Below are 26,150 nucleotides of genomic sequence, written 5' to 3' on the forward strand. Positions count from 1 at the left end.
CACACCACTGCACTCCAGCCTGGCTGACAGAATGACACCCTAATTCAAAAAAAAAAAAAAAAAAAAAAGAGGAAGGAGCGAAAGGGAGAGATTTCTCTCTCTCCATAAGCATACACTAAGGAAAGGCCAGATGAGCACATGGCTAAAGGCAGCTGTCTACAAGCCAGGAAGCAGGCCGTCACCAGGAACTGAACTTGCCAACACCTTGATCTTGGACTTCCCAGCCTCCAGAATTCTGAGAAGTAAATAAAAGCCATCCGGGCTATGGTGTTTTGTTATAGCAGCCCAAGCCAACTAAGAAGGATATCAAAGAAAAAAGCTGAAGCCGCACAGCGGCTCACGCCTGAAATCCCAGCATTTTGGGAGGCCGAGGCGGGTGGATCACCTGAGGTTAGGAGTTTGAGACCAGCCTGGGCAACATGGTGAAACTCCATCTCTACCGAAAATACAAAAATTAGCTGGGCATGGTGGCGAGTGCCTGTAGTCCCAGCTACTCGGTAGGCTGAGGCGGGAGAATTGCTTGAACCCAGAAGGTGGAGGTTGCAGTGAGCCAAGATCGTGCCACTGCACTCCAGGCTGGAAGACAGAGCAAGACTCCATCTAAACAAAACAAAACAAAACAAAACAAAAACACTGAGCTATGAGTTATAAGATTAAAACTTTTTCTTTTTTTGAGACAGCCTCATTCTGTCACCCAAGCCGGAGTACAGTGGTATGATCATGGCTGACTGCAGCCTTGAACTCCTGGGCTCAAGCAATCCTCCCACCTCAACTTCCTGAGTAGCTGGGATTACAGGCATGTATCACCACACCTGGCTAATTTTTGTATTTTTTGTAGAGACAGGATTTTGCCATGTTGCCCAGGCTAGTCTCAAACTCCTGGGCTCAAGTGATCCACCCATCTTGGCCTCCCAAAGTGCTGGGACTACAGACATGAACCACTGAGCCCAGCCTAAACTTATTTTAGTAACTTATCAGCCACTCCTTCAACCAATCACATGCCAAGCACTTTGGAGAAACAAAGATGACCATAAGCCTCTCTGCCCTCAAGAGTTCGTGGCCAAAGACCTAAACATAAAATTTCAATTAAGGATTATAAGGTTTGGAACAGAGGGGGAGATATGAGGGGACCACTAATTCTGCCTAGAAGAGTTTGGAAGGCATCGTGGAAGAAGGCATCATTTGAGTAGACATTGAAGGGCGATCAGAAGTATTTGAGGCAAATAGGAGTGGGAGGCAGGGGGTAAGGAGAGTAAAGGCACAAATGGGAAAGACCTGGAGGAGGGGAAGGGTATGGAGGATTTAGAGAAAAGGGATTGGTCGCCAGGCATGGTGGCTCACGTCTGTAATCCCAGCATTTTGGGAGGCCGAGGCAGGCGGATCACTTGAGGTCAGGAGTTCAAGACCAGTCTGGCCAACATGGTGAAACCCCGTCTCTACTGAAAATACAAAAATTAGCCAGGCATAGTGGCGCATGCCTGTAATCTCAGCTACTTGGGAGGCTGAGGCACAAGAATTGCTTGAACTCGGGAGGCAGAGGTTATAGTGAGCCAAGATTGTGCCACTGCACTCCAGCCTGGGTGACAGAGAGAGACTCTGTCTTAAAAAAAAAAAAAAAGAGAGAGAGAGAGAGAGAAAAGGGACTGGTTTTTTGCGTTTATAAGAGCACAAGCCTATCACAGAGAAAATGACTGAAGATGAAATAGGAAAATTGGCTGAGGCCCCTCACCAAGGCTTCGTGCGGACTTCAACTTGTAGACCAGATTTTGCAAACTGGTGGCCCAACAGGCTAAAACTGTTCTACCGACATGTTTGTTCAGGAAGCATAGTGTTTTTAAATTTTTAAGCCACCATTTAAAAATCAAGAGATTTTGCTTAAAAATCCAGATTCCCTTGAAACACTGAAGGAACTGACCTTTCTGGGCTCACATTCCTGCCTAGGAAGAGCAGGCTGGAGCAGCATCTGCCTTCTCTAGAGGAACTCCCCACTTGGCCACAGCCCCCACTACTCCCCTCTGTTTGCCCAGCCCAGCCTGCTTTCTTCATTTTATCCTGTTGAAACCAGCGAGCATTCCTAAGGTGATCTTCTAATCACTGCATGATATACGCTCTAAGATTCAGTTCGTTCTGGCTCTCGAAGTTTTTGTGTTTGGGATTTTTTTATTTCTTTCTCTCATTTTTATCACCATATTCCAAGAAAACTCTTAGAAAGCAAAGAATGTATCATATACTTTGTGTCTCTCACAACACTCAGCACAAGACTAGGTACAATGTAGATAATCAACTTTTGTTGAATTAGTGCAGAAATGAATGAATAAATACATGCCCCTCTGTGGTCATCCTCCATACCTGCCCTTCTTCCTCAAACCTCTAGACTTTTGCTACTAAGAAGATGGATGAATATGTAACAAAAAAAAAAGCACCAAAGTCAATCATTGCATTTCTATTTCAATTTTCTATCAGGTTGCAATGGAAATAGGAACTCTGAATAGATGCAGAACTAACCATCATGTCTGGCAGCAAGATGAATTAGAGCCCCAGGATACTGAGAAAGCCTGCAGATAAGATCACCAAATATCATCAGTGATCTTTGAGGGAATTGTAGAGAATAGGATAGGTGCCAAAAAGCTGGAGCCTGGCAAATGTTCTGATTTTCAAAAGGGGAAAAATGTTATGGTTTGCCAGTTCCAGACTAGATAATATGATATCACTCCCGGCAAGGTTCTTAAACAGATTTGTTAAGGACACTTATGAGCACCTAGGACAGGAAGTAATGTCCATTTGGCACCAGCATGGGGTCACCAAGAACAAGTCATGTTAAATGCATTTCATTTTCTTCTCTCTGACAAGGCTCCTAGGCTAGTGTATTGGAGAAACACAGCAGACTTAATATACATGGTGCACTGAGGGGGTGAGCAGCACCAAAGGCTAATTCAATCCTTGGGCTATGTTAATAGTAGTATTGCAGACAGCAGAAAGGAGGTGATAGTTGTTTTCTGTCTTTGGCCACATCTAGAGAACCACATTTAGAACTCAGTGCCACTCTTGAAATAGGATACTGATAATATAATCTTTTGGAGGTCCTTTTGGCAAAATCTCTTTAAAAACATAAAGCTCTCATCCAGATTTCTGGCATCTGTTGAAAAATTGAAAAATCTGTCTGGGCCTACATTCCTAAACAGCAATAATTGGTTGAACCTAAGTAGTGACTGCCCATTTAGACAGAACATGTACTCTGAAGTCCGTCACAATCACCACCACCACCCTTCTACTGCCTGCACTGAGGTGGTAGGCCAGCTGCCACAAATTGTTTCACGTGGCCAACTTTATCCATTTATTCTATCTGCCAAGCACCCAATGACACTGAGGTTTGCAACCCAGGATGCAGTAGAGACAGAGGAGAGTGGAGATGGTAAGTGGTAGCGAACCATCCTATTATATGAGGATAATCATTGTCAGGGGTTATATTCCCAGGCTCCACACACCCAGTGGGCAGTCCAAGGGAAGACACATCTGTCTTATTTTGTGAAGTCCAAAGGGAAAGGAACTATAGAACCAATAAGTAGATGAGAGACATATTCAATGCAACATAAGAAAAAATGCTTACAAGGGTCAGGCACGGTGGCTCACACCTATGATCGTAGCACTTTGGGAGGCCAAGGCGGGTGGATCACTTGAAGCTAGGAGTTTGAGATCAGCCTGGCCAACATGGTGAAACCCCGTCTCTACTAAAAATACAAAAATTGGCCACATGTGGTGGCACGTGCCTGTAATGCCAGCTACTCGGGAGGCTGAGGGAGGAGAATCTCTTGAACCCAAGAGGCGGAGATTGCAGTGAGTCAAGATGACATCACTACATTCCAGCCTGGACGACACAGAGAGACTCTGTCACAAAAGAAAAAAGAAAAAATGCTTACAAGAGCCAGAGCTGTCCAAAGATGATAGACTACGTGGGCTTGGGAGGTAGTGAGTTCCCCATCACTAGAAATGTGCAAGCATATGGTTTACTACTGCTTCATAATCAAAAGGCTTCAAGTATCTGATGAGGCAAGAGAAGGCATGAATCCTTCTATTTTACAATAGAAAAAATACTGTTCTAAAACATTCCTTTGTGTTAGGTCTATAAATTCTTGAAAAAGACATAAAAGGGAACAAGTCAACAAAGAACTCAGCACTGTTTTTAAAAATCAAAAGTTCCCTTCACAAAATTCACAAAGCACAAAATCTGTCTGACTAGGTGGACTTTTTGCATCCCACTGGCCAGATGATTCCCAGGGAGAAAGGTAATTGGCCTCGGGCACTGTTTTTGGTGACTGGTCAAATGTTCTTCAGAGGCATGCAACAAAGGCAACGGGATGAAAGTAAGAGGGTAAACAATGGAACTCCATCAAGAGGCTGCCAGTCCCCCCACAAAACTGCCATCTGCTGCTGACATCAATCCTTCAAGGGGCAGCTTCGGGCAAACAATGTGTCAGGGAACACAAGCCTGGGAGAAAATCGGCCTTGTGACCTTGGGCAAGTCATTTAACATTAACTGGGCCTCAGTTTCCTTGTCTCTGAAACTGAGTTCACACTAACCCTACTGTACATTGTGTGGGCCAAGAGTAAGTGATGTCTGGGAGTTAGCCATAGAAAATGCAGGGCCCTAGACACACATCAATAATTATGATGGTGATTAACACACAGAATTTTAAAAGAAAAGATTCCAGAGGGTTTCAGGGACAGCCATATCCTGACCTGACCTTGTGGGTGTCAATTCTAAAGGAATAAGATGTAACTCCTTTAGCCAGAATGCAAGGAAATTTAGTATTTGGAAGAGACAAGATCATTTGGACACATTTCCTGATGAATGCCTGGTAATTGGTGTATTTCTGATAAAACTCAGGGTACTCGCTGCTTAGTTGTTAAAATAAAAGATGAAAGGTAAAAAGCAAAAGGATCAGCCAGGGCAATTAATGCCTAACTGGCCCTGAAGAAAAGTTCACTGGCCCAGTAGTAGCAATCCTTCCAAAATGAGATAAGCACATTTCCTACCAAGAAAATATCATAAAACCTGAACTGTCCAAAACTCAACATCCCCTTCTCTCTCAAGGCATTTTCATGGCAACCTTAATTTTTATAAAATAATAATAATTGGCCAAATTCATTTTATAAAACATAAACTCCCTAAAAAGAGTCTATTCAAAGATTGAAACTAGGCTTTTGTATTGAGCAGTTGGGTGAATTAAAATCTCTGACCAATAAAGCGCTTATTTCTAAATTTTCAGCAAGGCTGAGACATCGTAAGTCACTGTTTTCCACATTGAACTGAAAAACCAAAGACAGGAGACCAGGGAAGAGCAGGGTTTTCTGCTCCTCTTGCCCTAGGATATGCCCAGAGGTGATGAGCACGCTGGGCTTTTGACCAGGACTAAAAGGCAAAAAGACTGTTGGTGAGACTGGAAAAAAAACAGATCCCTCCCCCCGTGGCTGCTCCACTCCCAAAGTTTCCCAAGCATCTGAAGCGTGTATGGCAGCTGCGGTGCCCAGCCTTCCCGCTGCTTTTAAGGAGGCCACCCAGCTCCCTGGGTCATTGGGTCTTCAGTTGCAGCAGCGCCCAGAAGCAGGTGTGGCAACCTCAGGTTGCTTGAGCCCCAAATACCCAACTTGCTCAACAGCCTGTGCATAACCTCAAAGATAGGCCTCAAGGTCCGCTGAAGATGCATTTTGTCTTTACTCTTTCTAGGAGAGGCCACAACACACCCTGTGTCGCAGCAAGGAGAACCATGACCAGAAAGAAAGCGGACGCCAAGAGGCACGAGCCCAGGCTTCCCACAGGGCACATCCTCAGAGAAAGGAGGAGCCTGCTGGATGGAGCTTTTAGATTTTCCTTGCCAAAGCTGAGCCTAGAACGTGTAGGGGTGGGAGAAGCCCCAGTCTGGCCTGAATGAGGATGCGGCAAGCCCGCATTTAGCCATGCAATTGTGTTCCCTTTCCTATTTCGCCTGGCTAGCGTGGATTTAGGGAGCGGCTTCTGAAAGAAGTATACACCCGGTGGCACAGAAGGTGCAACCAGCAGCCAGAGGTCATCTCGCCCTCCCGGCAGGCTTCTCCTGGAACCCCGGAAGCCAGGCAGCGCTGACCAGCCCAAACGGCATGCCGAGGTGTTGGCTTTGAATGAAAGCTGATGAACCTAAACGCCAGGGCACAGAGTGATTGGGCTGCACACTGCGAGATAATACATTTTCTGCACCAAGCTCCCTTTTTATGCCCAAATGCCTGCATTAGTCTGGATCAATATGCCCCATAACAGTTAATCCATGGCAACCCAGGCCAGCCCAGAGACACCGACAAAGAAGTGCCGCCCAGGGATGCTGCCTCGCTGTGCACATGCATGTGAATTCCGGCCCAGAGAAAGAGGCGGAGGCAAAACCACCACCACCAACAGAAACCAAAAAGGGGGAGGAAAAAAAGAGCAGATGGTAAAAAAATACCCCAATATTAAAGGGCTTTTACCATGGCAGGGAAGGGGTGGAGGTAGTGACTATCAAAATGGCCTTAGAGTGACATGTCACCGCCAAGATGATGGGGTATCAGCGACACTCCTAAAGTCAGGCATAGGATCCTCCTCACACACCTGCAATGCAGAGACTGCTGCCCATTCCATAATCCACACTCCCAGCCCCAGCGCTATCTGCAGTTGAAACCAGTCCGGACTTGTGCGGCTGCCACTGTTACTCCTCACAAAAAGATTATTGATGCATAACATTTCATAATGGCAGAGAGGAAAACGGGGGGCAGCGGGGGATGGGAACCAGAACAAGAGAAAAACGAAAGGGGAGGAGAAGGAAAACTCTCCCAGCCCGCATCTCACCTTTTATTTGGGCTTCATATTCAGCAATGATCTCTTTGTCTTTCTTGAACTTAGTTTGAGATGACATCTTCTGACGTGGCCAAAGGAACTGACAGGCTGTTTGATTTATTTCTCCTTTTCTTTTCGAGTCCTCTCTCAAGCCCTGGTAATCACACAGCTCTGGTCGATTTCACAGGTTTAGGGACTAATCTCTTTCACTTGGCTGCAGAGCAGGGAGAAAAATCCTTCTCCTTCTGGAAGGAAAAATCTCTTTACTTGCCGAGAAATGGCTCTAGTAGCTTGCCCTGGTCAGCTCCTCTTGCAAAAGAAGAATCACCCTAGGAGCACAGTAACCTGCCCCAGATTTTCAAAGATTTTTCTTCCAAAAATAATAATAATAGTAATAACCAAGCGCACTCACACACACATGCACACGTACACACACTCACGCATGCACAGGCACACTCACCGGGACACGCACACAGTTGTGCTGTGCACACAGGCATACACACACACACCCTCACACGCACACACACTCGCTGGATCACTCACACACACACATCCACGAGAGGCGCGGCGCCTCTTTGGTCGTGCAGCCAGCCCCTGGCTTGCTTTTGAAGGCTCTGCTAAGTCGATGGTCAGGTTGCCAAAGGGCCGGTCATCTCGCATCCTCCCTCCCTTCGGTGCCTCTGGTCTGATGTCCAGTGAGGATCAAAGCCAGGAGAGCGAGATGGAAGTTTTCCTGCTGCAACGCTTAAGCTCCGGTGAACACAAGGCTGGACTGCTCGCCCTGCAGGGCTGGCTGAGCTCTCCCCCACTGCTCACGTCACTAGACTCCGCCTCCCGGATTTTATAACAACTGACACATTGTAGCCTACAGGAGAGCAGAACTCACTGCAAGCAAAAAGGGGAAGAAACGCTCACAAAAGGGAAGGCAGCAGGAAAAGTAATCGGGTTGGTAAGTCTTGAGAGGCTTCTGCAAACTCCAAACATTAGCACTTGGGTTAGGGATTTTTCTTCCAAAAACTTAAGATCCTCCCTTTTTTTGCACTGTGCAATTTAATTCAGTTTCTGGAATCAACAGCTATATGATGGTTTGTCACTCTACTGGGATAGTCTAGCAGAGGGCCTGACCCATGTAGGGAAAAGCATCAATATTTGTTGAGCAGTTACTTGGTGGCAGAGACGATGCGAGGAGTTAAAGGCATGCAGCTTAGCAAAGCCACGCAGAGCAGGCACACTGGAGGCAGAACAGCTGGGTGGGTCATTGGCTTGTGGGGCTCTGGGCAAATTCATAAGTCAGACTGAGCCTCAGTTTCCTAGATAGTAAAATCAGCTCTCTTTGGAGGCTATGTTATTCATTCTTTCAACAGATATTTACTGAATGCTTACTATAGGTCTAGCACCGTTCTGGGTACAGGGATACAGCAATGATCAGAACTGGCACACACAAAAATCCCTGACCTTCTGAAGCTCCCGGGGCTCCACATCACACAACTCCAGCAGTTTCCACCATTCATGCTAATATTCTTAGTAAAAAGCACCCCTGGAGTAGAAAGCATTGTGAATGGTGCCCCCTGGAGTTGTACGAGGCAAGAGGCCCTGGGAGAGGAAGACCAAAAATAAGCACAGTAAGTATATTATATAATATCATACAAAATGTAAAGTGCTATGGGAAAAAATATTGCAGGGTAAGGAACATCGGGAATGAGAGGAGCTCTTGAAAAGATCAAAGAAAAATGCAAAGCTAAGCTTAGCACAGTCTCTGGTGCATAGCAAGCACTCAATAAACAGTAGCAACTGTTATTACCCTTTTATATCCCCCAACAACCTAACAACATAGGTATAAGCACCACTCTTTCACAGACAAAGGAGCAGAGGCTCAGATATGGGAAGTGACTTACCCAAGGTCACCAGCCTTCCAACCCAGGCTCAAAGTCTCCTGCATTCTACAAGGGAGACCAAACCCATTTCATGTGGAATTAAGGTAGAATAAGATTCATTCTGTAAAAACTGAGTCAAGCACTAAAGAGTCGCTGATCACTGGAATTTCATATGCTAAGATTGTCACTAATGTGTATTGGCCCCTGACTGTCCCCTGAGATAAATGTTCCCAAATTTCTCAAAATAGGTATAGTCTTCCATTTGCCTTTTTCTGAGTCTATAATAAATGATTCTGTTTGGACTCAGAAATGAATAGGTTATCCATGCTAGTCCATCAAGGCTTCCTAGAGGACATGGCAGCTGCAGTGGGCGTCCCCAGGCAAGTATGGCAAAGGGAGTGAGGCGGGGCAGGATGTTCTCCTGGAGCACACAGCATGAGCTGGGGCCCACAGGTGGCAAAGCACAAGACCTGCTTGGAGCAACGACAGGGAGAAGTCCAACTGGTGAATCATGGGGCTTATTATAGCCTTGTACCCGGAGGCAGGAGGTCACCAGTTCAGAAATAGATGCCACTGGCCCGCAGCCCTTGCCATCACCCCACTGCCTCACGCCTCCCCTGGACATGTTCAGGCCCTTTGCTGTCCTCTTCTAACTAGTTCAAACCCACAAAAGCCCCACGTTACCTGAGAAAGATGGGCACAGAGATTAACATCCCTGCTGCAAGTCTAGATTCTTCAAGAAAAATGAAAGTTAAAACCATACACCTTGGAGTACGACAGACTGGATCCTCTCCTGGCTCTGCCACGAGCCTTGAGCTCATGAGAACTTGAGCAAGTGGCTCAACCTGCTTGTGTGCCCACTGGTGGCAGGAACTCAGTAAATGTCAGCTATTTTCACCATTATTAAAATTTTAAATCCACAAATAGTTCTAGGAGACCTATGTGTAGGGTGCTGAGCCATGGAAATGTCACAAAAATGTCACAAAAAGCCATACAAAACCAAGGCCAAAGATGGTATAGCGCTCTGAGCTGACACCTGGCAGAGGCTGGGTTTTGGAGTAAGTCAGATGGTGGTTTACCTTCTGGCTCTGCTGTGCACCAGCTGTGTGTGGGGCTCATGGAGGAATACACCTTCTCTGAGTCTTGGTTTCCTCATCTGTCATAGGGTAGTGATCCACCCATGGCACAGGATCCAACACGATCATGGATTTAAAGTGCCTGGCATAGAGCAGAAGTCTCACAGACATAATTTCTTTTTTAGAGCTGTGGAAATGTGTTCTTCAACGTTGGAGGTGGGATCTGGTGGGCAGTGTTTGGATCATGGGGATGGATCCCTCAGGAATGGCTTGGTGTCCACCCCACGGTAATGGGTTCACAAGAGATCTGGTTGATGAAGAGTCTGGGACCTCGCTCCTCTTCCTTGCTTCCTCACTCACCATGTGATATGCCTGCACCTTCCACCATGATTGGAAGCTTCCTGAGGCCTCATCAGAAGCCAAGCAGATGCTGGTGTTATGCTGGTATAGCCTGCAGAACCATGAGCCAAATAAAACTTTTTTTTTTCTCAAGATGGGGGTCTCACCATGTTGGGCAGGCTGGTCTCAAGCAATTCTCCCACCTCAGCCTCCCGAAGTACTGGGATTGCAGAGTGAGCCACCACACCCAACCAAATAAAACTTTTTTCTTTAATTACCCAGCCCCAGGTATTCCTTTACAGCAATGCAAAATGGACTAATACAGGGCCCAGCCAAGCCAGACCTAGGACTAGAGCTTGGTCTCCACAGATACCCAGATTGGGAAAAGGAAGAGAGGAAAAAAAAGAGGAAAAGGTCTGTGTCCCCTGAAAAATCCATCACCACACACAATAAACCCACATCATCTGGAATCTTCTATCCCCAAGAAGATGTGGGTGTGACCTGGGCAGGCCCCCAGCACCAGGTCCTCACCCTTCCAGTCCTCCCCACAGCCCACCCCAGCCCTCCCGCTGCCCTCCTGTGACTCCTCCTCTGTGAGCCCACTTTTTCCTTGCTGTCTGAGAACCAACTGCTATTCCCAATGTTTACCCTTCACATGGTAGTAACAGAAACCAGATTTGTCTCCAAATAAATGTGGTAGGTGTGAGGGGAGGGCCTCTACCATGTGATTTGATCTATGCCACCCACTAAGGACCAGAAAAGCCCCTGGAAGTGTTTATTCCATTTCCTTGGGGCTCATCTCCTGAATTCTTTTAGATTTTCCTAAATTATACTGATAGCTAGTATTTACCAAGTTCTCCCTGCACACAAGCACAGGGCCAAGCACTCTATGTAGATTTTATCACTGATTTTTTGCTACAGCCCCATGAGTCCAGTGATGTAAATCATCCTTGTTTTGAAGTTGGGTAAACGGAGGCCAAGAGCAGTGAAGCAAGTTACCCAAGATCACAAAGCTAGCTAGTAACTTAATTGCACTGAAGCCCAGGTATGGCTCATAGCGGAGCCCAAGGACTTAAACAGTGCACGATTCTATCCCGGAGGAATCAGCATAGGAATAATTGCTATCAAGTAATAACCCATTTTTTCATTCCCTATAATTACATTGTTTCAATACGGAGTTCAACGTAAAGTTTTCCATTTAAAAAAAGAATTTGGGGTTAAAAATATAAGGAAAACATGTCACAAGTGACCACTAGTGAGGCATAAATTACAATAACAGCTAAACAATGCAAAACTCACTGAACCGGTTTCTTTTCCTGGTAGAAAGAAAAAAGGCTTCATCTGAAGGAAAAGTGGCCAGAATAGTTTTTGGTTGAAAGTACTTTTATTTTTCTGGTCGAATATGAACACCTCCCCCTCGCCGAGATGACTAATTTTGTAACATTCTCCACGTTGCTACCAGCAAATACATCCTTGGGCAGCTCAGTGAATAATTCTGCCCTTCAAGCCCTGCTCTGCAAAATGAAAGCAACAAGCAGAACTCAGCTAGTTGATGGCAGATTTTAATAGAATTAATAGTGATGATGACAACATGCCTAATGTGTATATATTGCTTTATATTTTGTAAGGCTCTTTCATATCATTTGTCGTATGTGGTCCTCACAATAACCCTGGGAGGGGACGGAATGGCAAGTAGGGCTGTTTTCAATACCTGTTTCATTGGTAAGGAAATACGTGGATAAGCAGAGGTTTTGATGGTACAGTTGTTTTATAACCTCAAGTTATAAGGATGACCTTTCCAACTGTGTCACAAAACCCATTAGCTGGAAAAGCTGACAAATTCAACCACAGAACAATACTTACAAAATTCTGCTTGACAAAAGCAAAGTCAAAGACCAATGGCAAGCTCAGAAACAATAGTTGCAACACCTATCATAGGCCAAAGAATAATTTTTCTAATATCAATTCAAACAAATACTCATACATGAATATTCGTAGGAGCCCAATTCACAACAACCAAAAGATAGAAACAACCCAAATGTTGTTTGAATGAATGGATAAACAAAAAATGGCATATCCATATGATGGAATATTACTCAGCCATAAAGAGAAATGAAGTACCAATACATGCTACAGTATGGAGGAACCTTAAAAATATTATGCTAAGTCAAAGAAATACACAGATTATATGAGTCCATTTATATGAAATATCCAGAATAGATATATCCATAGGAAATTCCATCTCTATGGTCACAGAAGAGTGGTTGTCAGGGGCTAGAAAGAGCGAGGACAGGCAGTAGCTGCTTAATAGGAAGTACCAAGTTTCTTTGGTGATCATTAAAATGTTTTGGGACAGGAGCAGTGGCTCATGCCTGTAATCCCAGTATTTTGTGGGGCAAAGGCAGGAGGATCGCTTGAGCTCAGGAGTTCGAGACCAGTCTAGGCATCATAGAGAGACCTCTTCTCTACAAAAAATAAACAAAAATTAGCCAAGCGTGGTGGTCCATGCTTGTGGTCCCAGCTACTTGGGAGGTTGAGGTGGGAGAATCACTTGCACCCAAGAGGTGGAGGGTGCAGTGAGCTGTGACTGCAATTGCACCACTGCACTCCAGCCTGGGCAACAGAGCAAGGCTCTGAAAAAAAGAAAGAAAGAAAAAGAGAGAGAGAGAGAGGAACGAAGGGAGGGAGGGAGGGAAGGAAAGAGAGAGAGAGAAAGAGAGAGAGAAAGAAAAGAAAGGAAGGAAGGAAGGGAGGGGAAAGAGAGAGAGAAAGAAAAAGAAAGAAAGAAAGAAAGAGAAAAGAAAGAAAGGGGAAAGAAAAAGAAAAAGAAAGAAAGGGGAAGGAAGGAAGGAAAAAGAAAGAGAAAGAAAGGAAGAAAGAAAGGTAGATTTTGGAACTAGACAGAGGTGACAGTTGTACAACATTGTGAATGGGCTAAATGCCACTGAATTGTACACTTTAAAATGGTAAATTTTATGTTATGTGAATTTGACCTCAACAAAGAATAACTACTAAAAGAAAAGAAAGTTTCCACAAATCTATGAGAATAATGCCAACCACCCAGTAGAAAAGTCAATTAAAGATATAGATATAAACAGCAGCTCACAGAAAGGGAAATACACATGAAATGTTAGCCCACCTCACTCATAATGAACACAAGTCAGGCATGACTGGAAACACGGGCTCTAACAATGCCCACAGGACACTGTGTCTTCCTCCTGCTCTCCATTCTGCCTCTGTATGGTGGCAGGCTCTCCCTGTAAGATGGCAAAGATGGCCCCCAAAACCCCCAAGCTTACATTCTCACAGGTTGGCAATCCTGGCAAGGAAGGCAAAGTCTCTCCCAGGAGTTCCAGCAAAAGTTTTGGAATGGTCAGCTGGCCCCTGCTGGGGCCCCTGGCTATCCCTGAACCAATCGCTGGAGCCAGGGGTGTTCTGCTTGGCCAGGCCTGTAGAGTGGGCTTGCCCTGGCACTTTGGGATGGAGTCAGTCCCGAACAATCCACATGGCCCCAAGAGGTGAGCCCCAGGAGCTCCCAAAGGAGGATCAGGGTGCTATTCCAGAAAGAGGAGGTTGGGCAAAGTCAACGTGTGTCTGCTAACGAAAACAATGCAGGAAAGAAGGAAGATGGAGTAATAGCTTGAAATTATCCAGCCTTGATACTTATAAAGCATCTTCTCATTTAGTATCATGATCCTCACACAGTCCTTTGAGATAGGTTATATTTTTCCCATTTTACAGTTGAGCAAATGAAGGCACAGGGAGGCTGAATGACTTTCCCAGCATCCCATGGCTCACAACAAATGGGAGAGCTGGGCAAGAAATCAAGTCACCTGACCCTGCATCTGGTGTTTGTTCTCCCATCCACCCAGGTACCAGGCTCTACCGAGAGACCCTGCAATGCACACAGGAACCTCACAGGCCTCACACATGCTCTGTTCACCAGTCCCCGCTTCCTTAGGAAAGGATGGGAAATCAGTCTCTCAGCCATCAGGACCTGTCACGGAGCTGCTGGGCAATGCTGCCAAGGTCCTCTGGCTTTCTAAGAACATTCCCATTACTCAGCCCACATGTCTGCGTGTGTGTCCAAGGACTGGACAGCTTCAGTGACAGCAATTCACAGCTGAGCCCCAGATCCTAATTCTGGAAGAACAGAAGTAAAGACTTCAAACACCCAAGCCCTTGACTACATTGCTAGCAAAGTTTGCTCATTTCCAGTGATGACAGGAAAGGCTTTAAATATCTCCCACTGTAGAGGAGACCTCTGGCTCTGCAACTGCCTAGGAGAGTCTAGGTCCCTGATGGAGAGTTAGCTGGCCCTGTGGATATGCACCTAAACCATGTCCTGCAATCTAGCTTAAAGCTTACACTTTGAGAAGCAGAGTAACAAGAACAGTTTCTAGAGCTGATATTTGCAGCATGGCTTCCACTGGGTTTGAGGGAATGCTTGTTCCCTTGATGAGACCTTAGTCTGATGCACATTTCCAGCCATCCACTCCCCATCCCTCATCCACTCCTCCCCAGGGGAGGAAAAGTGACTTAGCTGATTGGTGAATTTGAGAGAGACTAAGTTCACACATTAATCTTCTCTTTTCAGCTCCGCCTGCATTCTGCCCCTGTGGAGGAGACCTCTGGTTCTGCAACTGCCTGGGAGAGTCTAAGTCGGTGATGGAGAGTTAACTGGCCTGGTGGACACATACCTACCATGTCCTGCAATCTAGCTTAAAGCTTACACTTTAAGAAACAGAATAACAAGAATAGATTCTAGAGCTGAGTTTAAACCCTGGCTCCACCACTGATAAGCTGTGTGACCTTGGGCAAGTTGTTAGCTGGCACCCAGTAAGTGCCACATAAGCATCTGTTAAAATCTCCATCTGTCTACATTCTTTATCTATTCCTCAGTTAGTTCAGAACCTAAATGGGAAAGAAAGGTGTTATATATTGCCCCTATGAAAGCCCAACACAAAATAATTTACACCTTATATTTTTTTAATTCTAAAGCATGGGGTATGCAATGGATTGAATGCTTGTGTCCCCTTAAAATTCATGGGTTGAAATTCTTACTCTCGATGTGATGCTATTTGGAAATGGTTTTGTGGGAGGTAATTAGGGTTAAATGAGGTCATGAGGATGGGGCCCTTATGATGGGATTAGTGCCCTTTGAAGGAAGACACCAAAGCGAACTCTCTCTCTTTCTCTCTGCCCTATGAGGACACATTGAGAAGATGGTCATCTGAAAGCCAGGAAAAGAGACTGCTCCAGAACCTGACCATGCTGGCACCCTAATCTCAGATTTCCACCCTCCAGAACTGTGAGAAAATACATGTCTGATTTTTAAGCCCCCAAGTATATGGTATTTCTTTATGGCACCCTAAGCTAACACATTCAGGTTAGGAAGCCTAAATAATGGTTGTTTGAAAAAAATAATAATAACAATGTGCAAAAGAAGGGCATAGGAAAAGAGAGTGGTCTACCAAATGCTATAAATAGATGATTTTTACGAATTCATTTACTCACTCATTAAACAAAATAGCTCCTTTTTTTTTTTTTTTTTTTTTTTTTTGAGACAGTCTCACTCTGTCGTCCAGGCTGGAGCACAGTAGCATGATCTTGGCTCACTGCAACCTCTGCCTCCTAGGTTCAAGCAATTCTCCTGCCTCAGCCTCCTGAGTAGCTGGGATTACAGGCACCCACGACCGCGCCTGGCTAATTTTTGTATTTTTAGTAGAGACGGGGTTTCACCATCTTGGTGAGGCTGGTCTCGAACTCCTGACCTTGTGATCCACCTGCCTTGGTCTCCCAAAGTGCTGGGATTATAGGCATAAGCCACCACACTTGGCCTAAACAAAATATATCTTAAGCACTCGATATAGTCTAGGCATTGAGATATGCACAATCATGAACTGGACAGAGATAGTTCCTACTGTTGTGAAGACCTCAGTTTAATGGAAGAGACTGGTAAACAGGCAATTGTAATTCAACATTATGGAGAAGCACAGGGTCCCATGGGATCTCATGTAAGGGCACTTGACCTAGACTTGGAAACACAGAAGCGGTTTCTTGGAGGCGAAAATTTCTAAGCTGAGCTTAGAAAGACAAACAGCTGGAGAGAACCCACCCAAGTAGGGGAGGGAAAGTATTCCCAGCTAAGGGAACTGCATGAGCCAAGGGGACAATTGGTATAGCTGGAGCAGAGTGCCAGGCAGAGAGTGGGAGAGGTGATGCTGGACAGAGACATGGGCTGGAGTGTGAGAAGCTTCCTAGGCTGTATTAACAAGCTCGGAGTTTCATCTGGGTTCCCCCAGGAGCCCTGAAGGGAACTGACATCAGATTGGCCTTTGAGGAAGGTGACTCTAGTGGCAGTGTGGAAACCAGACTAGAACAGGCAAGACAAGGAGCTAGAAAATATTTTGAGAGACAAAGATGGGTTAGACAAGATGATGCCACGTACCATCATACTGAAAATACTGGCGACTTTATAGACACTAGCTCTCTGCATCCTCTTATCAGTGGCACCACATACCAGGTGCTATCATTGCCCCCTGTATTTTCGGATGCAGAATTGAGCTACAACACGAATACTGCCTCCCTCTAGGGTTAGCTACTGCCCTTTCTCCGTGATCCCAAGGCCTCAATTTCTCCCACCTGAACAGCTTTAGAGCTCCCTGCTGGTCCCTCTGTCTCTGATCGTGCCTCCCTCCTATTTGCGATCAACCCTGGAACCCGAGTGAGCTTTTCACGTGTGAATCAGATCATAATAATTTCCCGTGGGCAGCCTGCGATGTCCTCCTCGCACTTAAGAGTTGAATGCACGCTCCTCCCCATGAGCCCACGGGATTGGGCATCCGCCTCGCTCCTAAGCCCATCTCTTGCTTCTCTCCCTCTTGCTCCCTACTCCGGGCCATGCTTGGCCTTCTTATATTTCTGCAGTGCTCCCAGCACTTGCTATTCATTCAGATCCTCCCCGGGTCCTGGCTCCTGCGTCGCCTTCTCACACAGGCCCACCCAGACCACCCTAACCAAACGACTACTCCAGCACATTTCCCTGTTTCTTTTTTTTCATATGGCTACCACATTTGAAGTTATCTTATTTACCTACTTTGGTGGGGAGTGGGTAATTTTTTCTTTTTTTTTAGAGAGAGGGTCATGCCCTGTCACCCAGGCTAGAGTGAAATGACATGATCACAGACTTCTGCAGCCTGGACTTCCTGGGCTCAAGCGATCCTCCCCTTTCAGCCTCCCAAGTAGCTGGGACTACAGATCATACTGAAACACCAGGTGTGACCTGAAACACCAGGTGCCCAGCTAATTTTTTTATTTTTTTGTAGAGATGGTGGTGGTCTCACTGTATTGCTGAGGCTGGCCTCAAAGACCTGGGCTCAAAGGATCTTCCTGCCTCGGCCTCCAAAATGTTGGGATTACAGGCATGAGCCACTGCACCCAGCTACATATTTGTTTGTTCACTTAATGACTATTTCTGGACTCTCCACACCCCACCTCCACTAGACCAACATGTCTAAGAGAATATTCTGCATCGGTGAAAATTTTCTGTACCTGCACTGTCCAATACGATTGTCACTAGTCCCAGGTGGCCATTGAGCACTTAAAATGTGGCAAGTGTGACTGCAGAATTCAATTTTTAGGTTGGCTTCATTTAATGAGTTTAAATCTAAATAGCTGGGGGCCAGGGGTGGGGCTGGCAAGATGGCCAAACAGGAACAGCTCTGATCTGCAGCTCCCAGCGAGACCAAGAAGACGGGTGACTTCTGCATTTCCAACTGAGGTACCCACCTCATCTCATTGGGCCTGGTTAGACAGTGGGTACAGCCCACAGAGGGCAAGCAGAAGCAGGGTGGGGCGTCGCCTTACCTGGGAAGCACAAGGAGTCAGGGAACCCCCTTCCCTAGCCAAGGGAAGTCGTGAGGAACTGTGCCGTGAGGGACAGTGCTATCCAGCCCAGATACTATGCTTTTCCCATTGTCTTCGCAACCCACCGACCAGGAGATTCCCTCGGGTGCCTACACCACCAGGGCCCTGGGTTTCAAGCACAAAAATGGGTGGCAATTTGGGCAGACACTGAGCTAGCTGCAGGAGTTTTTTTCGTACCCCAGTGGTGCCTGGAATGCCAGAGAGATAGAACCGTTCACTCCCATGGAAAGGGGGCTGAAGACAGGGAGCCGAGTGATTGTGCTAAGTGGACCCCACCCCCATGGAGTCCAGCAAGCTAAGATTCACTGTCTTGAAATTATCGCTGCCAGCACAGCACTCTAAAGTCGACCTGCGATGCTGAGCTTGGTGTGGGGAGGGGCGTCCGCCATTAAGGAGGCTTGAGTAGGTTGTTTTCCCCTTATAATGTAAATAAAGCCACTGGGAAGTTCAAACGATGCGGAACCCACTGCGGCGTGGCATCGCCACTGTAGCCAGACTGCCTCTCTAGATTCCTCCTCTCTGGGCAGGGCATCTCTGAAAGAAAGGCAGCAGCCCCAGTCAGCGGCTTATAGATACAATTCCCATCTCCCTGGGACAGAGAACCTGGGGGAAGGGGCAACTGTGGGCGCAGCTTCAACAGACTTAAACGTTCCTGCCTGCCAGCTCTGAAGTGAAGATTCACAGCTCTGAAGTGAAGAAATCACAGAGAAATCTCTCTGAAGAGAGCAGTGGTTCTCCCAGCACAGTGCTTGAGCTCTGCTAAGGGACAGACTGCATCCTCAAGCGGATCCCTGACCCCCGTGCCTCCTGACGGGGAGACACCTCCCAGCAGGGGTTGACAGACACCTTATACAGGAGTGCTCCAGCTGGCATCTGGCGGGTGCCCCTCTGGGACAAAGCTTCCAGAGGAAGAAGCAGGCAGCAATCTTTGCTGTTCTGCAGTCTCCACTGGTGATACCCAGGCAAACAGGATCTGGAGTGGACCTCCAGCAAACTCCAGCAGACCTGCAGAAGAGGGGCCTGTTAGAAGGAAAGCTAACAAACAGAAAGCAATAGCATCAACATCAACAAAAAGGACGTCCACGCAAAAGCTCCATCCAAAGGTCACCAACATCAAAGGCCAAAGGTAGATAAAGCCATGAAGATGAGGAAAAACCGAAGCAAAAAGGCTGAAAATTCCAAAAACCAGAATGCCTCTTCTCCTCCAAAGGATCAAAACTCCTCACAAGCAAGGGAACAAAGCTGGATGGGGAATGAGTTTGACAAATTAACAGAAGTAGGCTTCAGAAGGTGGGTAATAACAAACTCCTCTGAGCTAAAGAAGCATGTTCTAACTAAATGCAAGGAAACTAAGAACCTTGATAAAAGGTTACAGGAACTGCTAACTAGAATAACCAGTTTAGAAAAGAACATAAATGACCTGATGGAACTGAAAAACACAGCACAAGAACTTCGTGAAGCATACACAAGTATCAATAGCCAAATCAATCAAGCAGAAGAAAGGATATCAGACATTGAAGATGAACTTAATGAAATAAGCATGAAGACAAGATTAGAGAAAAAAGAATGAAAAGGAACGAATAAAGCCCCCAAGAAATATGAGACTATGTGAAAAGACCAAACCTACGTTTGATTGGTGTACCTGAAAGTGACAGGGAGAATGGAACCAAGCTGGAAAACACACTTCAGGATATTATCCAGGAGAACTTCCCCAACCTAGCAAGACAGGTCAACATTCAAATTCAGGAAATACAGAGAACACCACAAAGATACTCCTCATATATTTAAAAAAAAAAAAAAAAAAAGACACATAATCCTCAGATTCACCAAGGTTGAAATGCAGGAAAAAATGTTTAGGGCAGCCAGAGAGAAAGGTCGGGTTACCTACAAAGGGAAGCCCATCAGACTAACAGTGGATCTCTCTGCAGAAACCCTACAAGCCAGAACAGAGTGGGGGCCCATATTCAACATTTTTAAAGAAAAGAATTTTCAACCCAGAATTTCATATCCAGCCAAACTAAGCTTCATAAGAGAAGGAGAAATAAAATCCTTTACAGACAAGCAAATGCTGAGAGATTTTGTCACCACCAGGGCTGCCTTACAAGAGTTCCTGAAGAAAACACTAAATATGGAAAGGAAAAACTGGTACCAGCCACTGCAAAAACATACCAAAATGTAAAGACCACAACACTATGAAGAAACTGCATCAACTAATACGCAAAATAACCAGCTAGCATCATAATGACAGGATCAAATTCACACATAACAATATTAACTTTAAATGTAAATGGATTAAATGCCCCAATTAAAAGACATAGACTGGCAAATTGAATAAAGTCAAGACCCATCGGTGTGCTGTATTCAGGAGACCCATCTCACGTGCAAAGACACACATAGGCTCAAAATAAAGGGATGGAGGAAGATTTACCAAGCAAATGGAAAGCAAAAAAAAAAAAAAAAAAAAAAGCAGTGGTTGCAATCCTAGTCTCTGATAAAATAGACTTCAAACCAACAAATATCAAAAAAGAAAAAGAAGGGCATTACATAATGGTAAAGGGATCAATGCACAAGAAGAGCTAATTATCCTAAATATATATGCACCCAATACAGGAGAACCCAGATTCATAAAGCAAGTTCTTAGAGACCTACAAAGAGACTTAGACTCCCACACAATAATAGTGGGAGACTTTAACACCCCACTGTCAATATTAGACAGATCAACAAAACAGAAAATTAACAAGGATATTCAGGACTTGAACTCAGCTTTGGACCAAGTGGGCCTAATAGACATCTACAGAACTCTCCACCCCAAATCAACAGAGTATACATTCTTCTCTGCACCAAATAGCACTTATTCTAAAATTGACCACATAATTGGAAGTAAAACACTCCTCAGCAAATGCAAAAGAATGGAAATCATAACAGTCTCTCAGACCACAGTGCAATCAAATTAGAACTCAGGATTAAGAAGTTCATTCAAAACCACACAACTACATGGAAACTGAACAACCTGCTCCTGAATGATTATTGGGTAAATAACGAAATTAAGGCAAAAATAAATAAGTTCTTTGAAACCAATGAGAACAAAGATACGAAGTACCAGAATCTCTGGGACACAGCTAAAGCAGTGCTTAAAGGGAAATTTATAGCACTAAATGCCCTCAGAAGAAAGCAGGAAAGATCTAAAATCGATACCCTAACATCACAATTAAAAGAACTAGAGAAGCAAGAACAAACAAATTCAAAAGCTACCAGAAGACGAGAAATAACTAAGATCAGAGCAGAACAGAAGGAGACAGAGACATGAAAAACCCTTCAAAAAAAAATCAATGAATCCAGGAGCTAGCTTTTTTGAAAAAATTAACAAAATAGATAGACTGCTAGCCAGGCTAATAAACAAGAAAAGAGAGATGAATCAAATAGACACAAGAAAAAATGATAACGGGGATATCACCACTGATCCCACAGAAATACAAACTACCATCAGAGAATACTATAAACACCTCTATGCAAATAAACTAGAAAATCTAGAAGTAATGGATACATTCCTGGACACATACACCCTCCCAAGCCTCAACCAGGAAAAACTTGAATCCCTGAAGAGACCAATAACAAGTTCTGAAATTGAAGCATAATTAATAACCTACCAACAAAAAAAGCCCAGGACCAGAGAGATTCACAGCTGAATTCTACCAGAGGTACAAAGAGGAGCTGGTACCATTTCTTCTGAAACTATTCCAAACAATAGAAAAAGAGGGACTCCTCCCTAACTCATGTTATGAAGCCAGCATCATCCTGATACTAAAACCTGGCAGAGACACAACAAAAAGAGAAAATTTCAGGCCAATATCCCTGATGAATATAGATGCAAAAATCCTCAATAAAATATTGGCAAACCGAATCCAGCAGCACGTTCTAAAGCTTATCCACCACAATCAAGATGGCTTCATTCCTGGGATGCAAGGCTGGTTCAACATAAGCAAATCAATAAACATAATCCATCACATAAACAGAACCAATGACAAAAACCACATGATTATCTCAATAGATGCAGAAAAGGTCTTCGATAAAATTCAACACCCCTTCATGCTAAAAACACTCAATAAACTAGGTATTGATGGACCATATCTCAAAATAATAAGAGCTATTTATGACAAACCCACAGCCAGTATCATACTGAATGGGCAAAAGCCGGAAGCATTCCCTTTGAAAACTGGCACAAGACAAGGATGCCCTCTCTCACCACTCCTATTAAACATAGTATTGGAAAATCTGGCCAGGGCAATCAGGCAAGAGAAAGAAATAAAAAGTATTCAAATAGGAAGAGAGGAAGTCAAATTGTCTCTGTTTGCAGATGACATGATTGTATATTTAGAAAATCCCATCATCTCAGCCCAAAAACTCTGTAAGCTGATAAGCAACTTCAGCAAAGTCTCAGGTTACAAAATCCATGTGCAAAAATCACAAGCATTCCTATACACCAATAACAGACAAACAAAGAACCAAATCATGAGTGAACTCCCATTCACAATTGCTACAAAGGGAATAAAATACCTAAAAATACAACTTACGAGGGGTGTGAAAGACCTCTTCAAGGAGAACTACAGAGCACTGCTCAAGGAAATAAGAGAGGACACAAACAAATGAAAAAACATTCCATGCTCATGGATAGGAAGAATGAATATCATGAAAATGGCCATACTGCCCAAAGTAATTTATAGATTCAGTGCTATTCCCATCAAGCTACCATTGACTTTCTTCACAGAATTAGAAAAAAACTACTTTAAATTTCATATGAAACCAAAAAAAGAGCTGGTATAGCCAAGACAATCCTAAGCAAAAAGAACAAAGCTGGAGGCATCACGCTACCTGACTTCAAATTATACTACAAGGCTACAGTAACCAAAACAGCATGGTACTGGTATCAAAACAGATATATAGACCAATGGAACAGAACAGAGGCCTCAGAAATAACACCACACATCTACAACCATCTGATCTTTGACAAACCTGACAAAAACAAGAAATGGGGAAAGGATTCCCTATTTAATAAATGGTGTTGGAAAAACTGGCTAGCCATATGCAGAAAACGGAAACTGGACCCCTTCCTTACACCTTATACAAAAATTAACTCAAGATGGATTAAAGACTTAAATGTAAGACATAAAACCATAAAAACTCTACAAGAAAACCTAGGCAATACTATTCAGGACATAGGCATGGGCAAAGACTTCATGACTAAAACACCAAAAGCAATTACAACAAAAGCCAAAATTGACAAATGGGGTCTAATTAAACTAAAGAGCTTCTGCACGGCAAAAGAGACTACCATCAGAGTGAACAGGCAACCTACAGAATGGGAGAAAATGTTTGCAATCTACTCATCTGACAAAGGGCTAATATCCAGAATCTACAAGGAACTTAAGCAAATTTACAAGAAAAAAAAACCCCATCAAAAAGTGGGCGAAGGATATGAACAGACACTTCTCAAAAGAAGACATTTATGCGGCCTACAAACATATGAAAAAAAAAACTCATCATCACTGGTCATTAGAGAAATGCAAATCAAAACCACAATGAGATACCATCTCACACCAGTTAGAATGGGGATCATTAAAAAGTCAGGAAACAACAGATGCTGGAGAGGATGTGGAGAAATAAGAACACTTTTACACTGTTGGTGGGAGTGTAAATTAGTTCAACCATTGTGGAAGACAGTGTGGCGATTCCTCAAGGATCTAGATCCAGAAATACCATTTAACCCAGCAATCTCATTACTGGGTATATACCCAAAGGATTATAAATCATTCCACGATAAAGACACATGCACACGTATATTTATTGAGGCACTATTCACGATAGCAAAGACTTGGAACCAACCCAAATGCTCATCAATGATAGACTGGATAAAGAAAATGTAGCACATATACACCACAGAATACTATGCAGCCATAAAAAAGAATGAGTTCATGTCCTTTGCAGGGACATGGATGAAGCTGGAAACCATCATTCTCAGCAAACTAACACAGGAACAGAAAAGCAAACACCACATGTTCTCACTCATAAGTGGGAGTTGAACAATGAGAACATATGGACACAGGGAGAGGAACATCACATGCTGGGGCCTGTCATGGCATGGGGGGCAAGGAAAGGGATAGCATTAGGAGAAATACCTAATGTAGATGACAGGTTGACAGGTGCAGCAAACCACCATGGCACATGTGTACCTACATAACAAACCTGCATGTTCTGCACATGTATCCCAGAACTTAAAGTATAATAATTAAAAAAAAAAAATCTAAATAGCCACATGTGGCAGGGGATCATTGTTTAGGCAGAGCCACCTAGAGTGTCTGTTCTAAGACAGCAGGAGCCATGTCTGTTCTTGTATCCCCAGTGCCTACAACTATGCCTGACATATAATAGGTGATCAATAAACATTCCTTATGTGAGGGAAGAAAAATACAAACAAATGAAATCCCTTCTGATCATCTCTCGGCTCCACTCCCCACTCTCACTGGAGGCCTCCTTCCATCCGGTTTTTTTGTTTTGTTTTGGTTTGGTTTTGGTTTTTGGGTTTTTTTTTGCAGCACTGACCTTAGGCATTTGGCAGAAACACCAGGTGCCAGGGCAGCAGAGTCAATTACTCCCTCCACTGCACTCCATTTGGAGGCAATACCCCCTGTGAGGAGGTGGGATGGTAATGAGGCCTTACCAGGCCCCAATAAATACTGCAGCTGTTTCCTATACAGTCATTTGGGCTTTATGGAATGTGGAAGTGAGTGGCTTGGCCTATAAATCCATGTGAATCGCTTTGTCTATTCCTCCTCCTCCTCCTCCTCTGTCTAATGTTGGAAGACACAGGAGGGAGAACCAAGTCAGTGTTAGGTCAAGAAACTGAATTCAATTAAAGTGTTATTTGGACCCAATCTCTTTTAGGAAATGAACGCAGCATCGGGCTGAATAATATATATTTTGCAAGTAAGGGTTCCTCCTGGACTCCATTTAAGCAGAGAAAGATAATTCAGAACAGACATTCAGTCTGGTCTTGTTTCTACCCAGCGAGGATTTAGGACATCTATGGTATCCCACAGCAATAAGACTTCTACTTCCCCCTGTAATGGCCCCAAATGATGACTGAGAAAGATATAGCTCCCAAGGCCTCTGGAAAACACCTTGTTAATTGTGCCCAGGATTGGCTGGGAAAACAGCAGACAGAGATGCTTTCAGATATTAACAAATATGGGATAAAAACCAGAAATGATGGTTGAGAGATGAGATCAACTACAAAAGTGGCTCAAGTTAAACTTCCTAGAGAGTTCATGCTGTGCCACATGCAGTGGTTTCAGTTGGGGTCTGTTCTGGATGCCGTGGGGGCAGCTGGGGTCTGTTCTGGATGTTGTGGGTGCAGTTGAGGCTGTTCCGCAGGCAGCGGTTGCAGTTGGGTTTGTTCCCAAGGATGTGAAGAACACTCTGGGGCCTACTCTGAGAAGCTGAGTCCTGTTTTTATCATGAAGGGACAATAAATGCGACCATTGTATTTCCCAGGTCACACCTCTGGGAACTGCCAGTCACGTAGTCTCAGATGTATTTTCTCTGGTACTTAGAAATTGTCCTTCACCTGGGGAAGTCTTTGTGTTATAGCAGGGGACAGGGGTATATCTCCATATGCTGTCTGGACAACAGCCAAGCTTCTGAGTATCAGGTACCCTAAAAATTATAATAATGGGAATAACAGTTGCAATTTAGGAAGCCCCAACAAGGTGCCGTTTTCTGTGCAAGGCCATTTTCTACATTATCTCAGGGAATCCCTATGACAACTCTAAGATAGCTACAGCTATTGCTGTTTTACATGTTAAAAGGGTTGAAGGGATTCAGAAGAGTTAAATCATCTGCCATGCTGGGGAGACCCCTGTGGAAGGAAGCAAGGATGGCCTCAGACCAACAGGAAGCAAGGACCCGAGGCCCTCATCCAACAACCCAGGAGAAACTGAATCCTGCCACCAACCATGTGAGTCAGCCTGGAAGCAGATCTGCCATGGACAGAGCTGTGTCCTCCCCAGATTCACATGTTGAAGCCATAACCCCCAA

General features: G+C 44.6%; 1 protein-coding gene and 1 long non-coding RNA gene across 10 annotated transcripts in view, besides 1 other annotated feature; one reads left to right on the forward strand and one right to left on the reverse strand.

Moving 5' to 3' along the window:
- The window catches only part of SRGAP3 (SLIT-ROBO Rho GTPase activating protein 3), a 382,437-nt gene that overhangs the window by 261,441 nt on the left and 94,846 nt on the right, over positions 1-26,150 (reverse strand). For 8 of the 9 annotated variants that reach the window (XM_047449335.1, XM_047449333.1, XM_024453842.2 and 5 more), the window contains exon 1: positions 6,854-7,615. The exons of the other annotated variant lie outside the window; for it this stretch is intronic. In XM_047449335.1, coding sequence (XP_047305291.1) covers positions 6,854-6,920 — 67 coding nt within the window. In that variant the 5' untranslated portion in view covers positions 6,921-7,615. Of the gene's footprint in view, positions 1-6,853; positions 7,616-26,150 lie in introns of those variants that run through there. 9 annotated transcript variants of the gene reach the window in all.
- Positions 7,394-7,633: an enhancer, noted in NCBI's record as "active region_19398". NCBI's record gives its function as "activates an Ori minimal core promoter by ATAC-STARR-seq in GM12878 lymphoblastoid cells {active_cell/tissue: GM12878}" and the evidence as "EXISTENCE:reporter gene assay evidence [ECO:0000049][PMID:35858748]".
- SRGAP3-AS4 (SRGAP3 antisense RNA 4) lies at positions 7,725-15,476 on the forward strand. The gene is made up of 3 exons (NR_146969.1): positions 7,725-7,790; positions 14,728-14,969; positions 15,342-15,476. It is a non-coding gene; the product is annotated as an SRGAP3 antisense RNA 4 (long non-coding RNA).

The sequence above is a fragment of the Homo sapiens genome, chromosome 3 (assembly GCF_000001405.40).
Source record: "Homo sapiens chromosome 3, GRCh38.p14 Primary Assembly".
NCBI classification, from domain to species: domain Eukaryota; kingdom Metazoa; phylum Chordata; class Mammalia; order Primates; family Hominidae; genus Homo; species Homo sapiens.